The 5,815-nt window shown below is 41.7% G+C and overlaps 2 annotated features.

Moving 5' to 3' along the window:
* Positions 227-726: an enhancer, noted in NCBI's record as "H3K27ac hESC enhancer chr10:2714927-2715426 (GRCh37/hg19 assembly coordinates)". NCBI's record gives its function as "activates a minimal SCP1, AML or CMV promoter by ChIP-STARR-seq in naive H9 embryonic stem cells {active_cell/tissue: H9 hESC(naive)}" and the evidence as "EXISTENCE:reporter gene assay evidence [ECO:0000049][PMID:30033119]".
* Positions 727-1,228: an enhancer, noted in NCBI's record as "H3K27ac hESC enhancer chr10:2714425-2714926 (GRCh37/hg19 assembly coordinates)". NCBI's record gives its function as "activates a minimal SCP1, AML or CMV promoter by ChIP-STARR-seq in naive H9 embryonic stem cells {active_cell/tissue: H9 hESC(naive)}" and the evidence as "EXISTENCE:reporter gene assay evidence [ECO:0000049][PMID:30033119]".

Raw genomic sequence — 5,815 nt, 5'->3', positions numbered from 1 at the left:
AAAACAGCTGCTTACACCAGAACTAATACTGTCCTCTCTTATCCACTGAACACTCCTTTTTCCTGTCTACAAGGAGAGACAACTCAATGTGTTGTAAGTTGATGTGCACAGTATCAGGTCTCTAGGGACTAGCTATCTATCCTTGAGTACTGTCAGAATCTTTTTTTTAATATTATGAAACTCACAGACTAGATTATAAATGTAATTATCTCCCACATATGCTATATAAAATGGCAGGAAAGACGCAGAAATAAGTATGGCAAACTAGTTTAAGCACACGTGCACACACATGCACACACACACAATGATGCATGAAAGTAAATGAATTGAAATCTCAATTTTTATGACTCATCCTCAGATCATGAGAGTCTTTATAATATTTCTTTCCCAGTAAGAGTCAGTGTTCTCTTTGTTCTCAAGTAGCTATTTAGATTGTCAGGTTTCTTGATCCATCGAGGTGACACAAATTTATATTTCCAGGGGCTCTGAGAGTTGGGTGTTGCTCCTTGTACAAAGCCCTTGTGGGGTCTGTTAACTGTCCACACACTGGACATGGCCATCTAGGAGTACTTCCAGGGTGTTTCTTTGTCTCCAGTTTCCTTCTCCTGTCTTTCCTGTGCCATGGAACAAACACACTTACATTTGCCTTGAGCTGGCCACAAGTGCTCTGTGGTCCAGGCACAGGATGGGGCCACAGCCCTCCCGTCCCGTGTGTGTGCCTGACCACATGTGATGTTGCTGCTCCTCCCGTCAACAGGCAGAGTCTGTCTCTTCACCTTCACAGGTCTGGGCTGGCCTTAGGACTTGCTTTGATGGTTTGAGACTTTGGACTGTAAGCTTTAGGAGGCTCTGAACTTCTAGGCTTCCTCTCTTGCTGCCATGAAATAGCCGAGTGAACATGTCTGAGCTGGCTTTCGGCAGATGCCTGATCGAGCAGGACCCACGTGACCCAGCTGACAGCCAGCATCCCCATCAGACACCACAGTGAGGCTCTATGTGTCCACCCAGCTGTGGCGAACCACTGGACAACCATTGGCATGAGTTACTCCAGGCAAGTTGAGCAGAAGAACCACCCAGCTGACCCAACCTCAATTTCTGAGCTACTAAATTGTGAACAATTAAATCACCTGTTGTCCTGGGCCAGTTTTCATATGGCTACTTTACACAGGAGTGGGTAGATGGGACACCTCCTCCCCACTCTGGGCTACTTCAGGTGACAAGCTCACCCTTAGCATGCAAGCCTTCCTCCTTGCCTTGGCTTACGTTTAGCATTGAGAAGGGGTTGAGATGTCTCTAGTAGAAGATGCAGAAGAAAGCCTAGGGCTGTTCATCTCAGCTCTGCTGTGGATCCTCTTGGGAGTGCCTTCAAAGGACGAAGGATTTCCCTAGCGGCTCTATGCTGCCAGCTGCATTGGTAGTGTCCACATGTGCCTGCCTTGGTGGCCATCTCTGTGATGGGTGAATAGGTCAGCCAAAGTCTGAAGCTGCAGCTCAGCTAAGTCCTGAGGCTCTCACAGCAAGCTGCTGCCACCCTGGCCTGTATCGACAGGGAAGGGGACATCTTGGTCTGTACCTTTTCCCTCCTCTTATTTTACAAATTGTTCAGAACCCAGAGGAAGCCTGGTTTCACATATCGACTCTGCCCCAAGCTAGCCGCAGTGTGACAAGGGGTAGGAGTGATGCCACCAGCCTAGCCTCCACACTCTGTGGGCTTTTGGCACAAAGCTGTGGCCTCCTGCAGAGACTGCACCTGCACATGTCAAGGATGTGGCCCTGGGCAAACCACGGTCACTGCTGCAGCTTGGAGTACACAGGGGTGACCAAGAGTCTGCAGGTCGTCTCTATGCAGAGAAGATGATGGACATTCTTAGTATAAATCATTCTTGTGGCAGAAAACTAGGTGGGGAGGGATTTCCCTGGGACTTGGAAATAAGACGGGTGGGTTGGGAGGCTATGAGACTCGCATAGTTATTGCAAGCAGACAGCCCAGGTTCCTCCACAGGGGGTCCAGGGGGCAGGAGAGTTGTGAGCTGCTAGTTTGTTCACTCCCCACATCTGTAGTGTCTGCAGTAGCAGTGCTCCTAGAGCACAAATTCACAGAGCCTCTCGGAGATGACACAGGGAAAGAGGTGACCCCACTCACAGTCCTAGGAGAGGATTCATTCTAGCTGCAGCAAGCAGGCCATAGGCATGACATGGGGAGTGTTGTCTGTGTGCGGTTGTGAGCACTTGTGTGTAAAAAGAAATGCAAGTATTTTTTTAAAAAAGTATATCTTGGGGAGCCAGGCCTATAGACCATGGGTGAGGGAAAGGCGATCTCCTGTTCTCTCCTCTGTGACAATTGCTTGGTCCCCACAGCAGACAGAGATAGTGTGTGTGCAGGCAGAGGCGGGGCAGGGACGTGACGGCCAGATGTCAGGGCACATATGGTGGAGAACGCTGGACTTTTACAACCTGCCCATCTTATTTCCAAGTTCTTGGAAATACACACTCCCAGATTCTAGGCACGCTCAGGTTAACAATCCCCATGGGAAAAAGTGACTCTCTTGCAATAGGCAAGTGGGCATTAGGAGCTCTTTAACTTAATACCAAATTTTATCTGACCTCATTTTAAACATTTCAAATTTGTAAAATAGGAAATGTCAAGTATTCTTCTCTACCAACCAGGAAAGACTGACAGTGATGTGAGATCTGGAGTCCAGGAATATATAGGAACAGATGTGGGGAAAGTCTGTAATTACAGTGCTTAATCATCAAGAAAAAGGAACTTACCCTACGTCTGAAGAGGGCAAGCGGAGATTCTTCACAGCTTCTCCTTCTCGTGTGTGAAAAATTGAAAAGACAAAGTTAATAACAGCCTTCCTCAACCCACTGTGCGGTCCTTGTTCTGGATACTAAAATTGAAATTTCAGCAATTTCCCTTAGGTCTTTTTGAGAATTACCATCAATTGCATTCATATGCATTTCTACTCTGCAATGCTAATGCATTTATTTCCTTATTTGTTTTTAAACTGTGAAGAACGCATAATTTAAGCCTTGCAAAGTGCTTGACATGCATATATATTTTGTTCAGACCTTTATCCTATTTGTGACTGTGATTATATGGCTATCAAAGGTAAAAGAAACAGGCAGTGAGAATATAATTGAAGGCCTTAGAACGCTTCCATCAGCAAGTCAACAAGCGTTATTGAACAAGCAGAGTTATTCTGAATGCATTAAAGTGTAAGTGGATCAAAGTTGGAAATATTTTAGATAGGTTTGGTTTCTTTTTCTCTTATCTGAAGAGCTGAGATGTTTTCCCCCCCAAAAAAACGCCATTATGTCCTCACCCTGAAAATCACCTCATTTCCACTGGCTGCAAATCACAGGCTGGCTCAGTTTGCACTGCTGAGAGTGTGTTGCTTTCTTTCTTGAGTCCTGGACTAGTGACCATGGATGCCTTAATAGCAGCACTATTTTGCGCTGCAAGACAAACAGCTAATTGTGTCATAAGAGACCAGTTCCTGAATTGCAGCCTACTACATTTTTATAGGGAAGAAAATTGATGAAGTGACGATGGAAATTCTGAAAGATAACCAGATGTTACCTTTTTGCTATTGTGTTTCCTTCCTTCCTTCCTTCCTTCCTTCCCTTCTTCTTCTTCTTCTTCCTTGCTTCCTTCCTTCCCTTCTTCTTCTTCCTTGCTTCCTTCCTTCCTTCTCTTCCTCTTCCTCTTCTTCTTCTTCTCCTTCCTTCCTTCCTTCCTCTTTCTCTCTTGCTTGCTTGCTTTCTGCAGTAAAAACTTTTCCATGATTGACTTGACCATTATTTACCCTCTTAGTTGAAGAAAGAAAAGATTTTTGGATTTGTGGCAGTGAAGAGAAGGGGCAGCAAAAGATGAAAGTATTGGGGTGAATATCAACAAGATGAATTCTGCTTTTCTCAACCTCTTTTTCAGGTACATTTTCTCTCTGGACTTACCAAAATATGAGTAAAAGAACACGTAAACGTGAATGCAAGGGTCCTTGACCTTCTATGGATTAAGACTGATTCTCAAGTTTATTTTCTTATAGTTTATAAGGAGGTTCCATGGGTAGATATAACATTTTATTTCATTTGCTCTCTGTATAAAGCTCTGAGAAATATTAAGTATTTTCCTATAGAATTGATTCATTCTGTGACCCCTTTTAGTATCTTAGCATGTTCTTGAGTGGAAAATGGAGCCAGAAATGTGTGCAGTGTGGTCCTGTGTGGTAGAATGCTGAATGCTTTCAGAGACAAAAGGATAGACATTTCCTGGGCCTTGTCATTTACTGGCCTATCTAGCAGGCCATGGTGAGTAAAAAAATAACTCTCCTTGCCTGCTACTTATTAAGTAAGTGAAGGTTTCTGGGGCAGTCAATTTTTGGAGTGAAGAGAAAGTTTGAGAAAAAAAAGATTTAAATATATAAATACAAATAAATATGTATGTATATATACACACATATTTTTATATATCTGTGTGCATGTATATACATAGATTTAAATTTAGATTTAAATTTGTGATTAATTTTGAGCTTAAATATATATATATACACACACACACACACACTTATGTGTGTATTAAAAGGCTGCAGACTGTATAAATCTCTCTGTCTTTAAATGAGTTGTTCTTACATTATCCTTCATAAATGCTACACGTACTAAGTGCTAAGCACTAAGGGAATGGGAACTAAACAGACATGGTGCCTCCTTTCAGTGAATTTGCGATCTCACTGGGATTAGGAAAGGCGTTACGGGGAGACTCTCCGTAACAGAGGGAGAGCATTCTCACCAATGTCCCCGCCGAGTCTGTGCGAGGTGCTCTGTCTCGAGTACCATGTCCTCATTATATCCCTTACTGGAAAGGAGGAGCATTATCTCATGTTATGCACCACAGTTTCTTTAAAAACTTAACTGATGAAGGATTTCTGGGTCATTTTCAGTTTATGACTATATTAATAAAGCTACTATAAATGCACACGCTTTTGTCTGAAATAAAAGTTTTACTTCTCTGGCATAAATACCTAGGTTATATGACAGTTGCATATTTAGTTTTTAAGAATCTGCCAAATTGCTTTTCCAACTAGTTGTACTATCTTACATTTCCATCAGCAATGTGCAATTGATCCAGTTTCTCTGCAACCTCATTAGCATTTAGTGTTGTTGCTTTTTAAACATTTTACGTATTTTGATAAGATGTTTACATTTTCCCACTGGTTAATAATATCAAACAATTTCTCTTGTGCTTATTTGCAATTTGTATATTCCCTTCAGGAGTAAAATCTCTTTTTATATGTTTTTCCATTTTCTATTAGGGCTGTTCAGCTTTAATTCTTGAGTTTTGAGAGTTATTTAAATATCCTAGTTACTAGTCCTTTGTTGCAGACGGAGTTTGCAAACATTTATTTCCCACCGCGTAGATTTTCTTCTAATCTTATTAAGCGGGGACTTTGCAGAGCAAAGTTTTTAATCTTGGTGAACTCCAATTTAACATTATTTCCTTTTGTGCATCATGCTTCTGGTGTCAGGTCAAAAACTTCTTTGATTTCTCTCACCAGTTGTATGCAATTTTCAGCATATAAGTCCTGTACATGTTTTGTTAGGTTTACAGAGGTTGTTGCTTTTTTGAGTAATTTAAAAGGTATTATATTTTTAATTTTATTGTTTACATATTTATTGCTAATATATAGAAAGCTAACTGATTTTAGTGTGCCTGTGTTGTACTTTGCAGCCTTACTTAACTCACCTCTTAGTTCTAGGAATTTTGTTTTGTACATTCTTTGGGATTTTATATGTAGACAATTATGTCATCTCC

The sequence above is a fragment of the Homo sapiens genome, chromosome 10 (genome assembly GCF_000001405.40).
Source record: "Homo sapiens chromosome 10, GRCh38.p14 Primary Assembly".
NCBI lineage: Eukaryota > Metazoa > Chordata > Mammalia > Primates > Hominidae > Homo > Homo sapiens.
The sequence above is the reverse complement of the archived record's forward strand: the minus strand, read 5'-3'. Positions and strand labels throughout refer to the sequence as shown.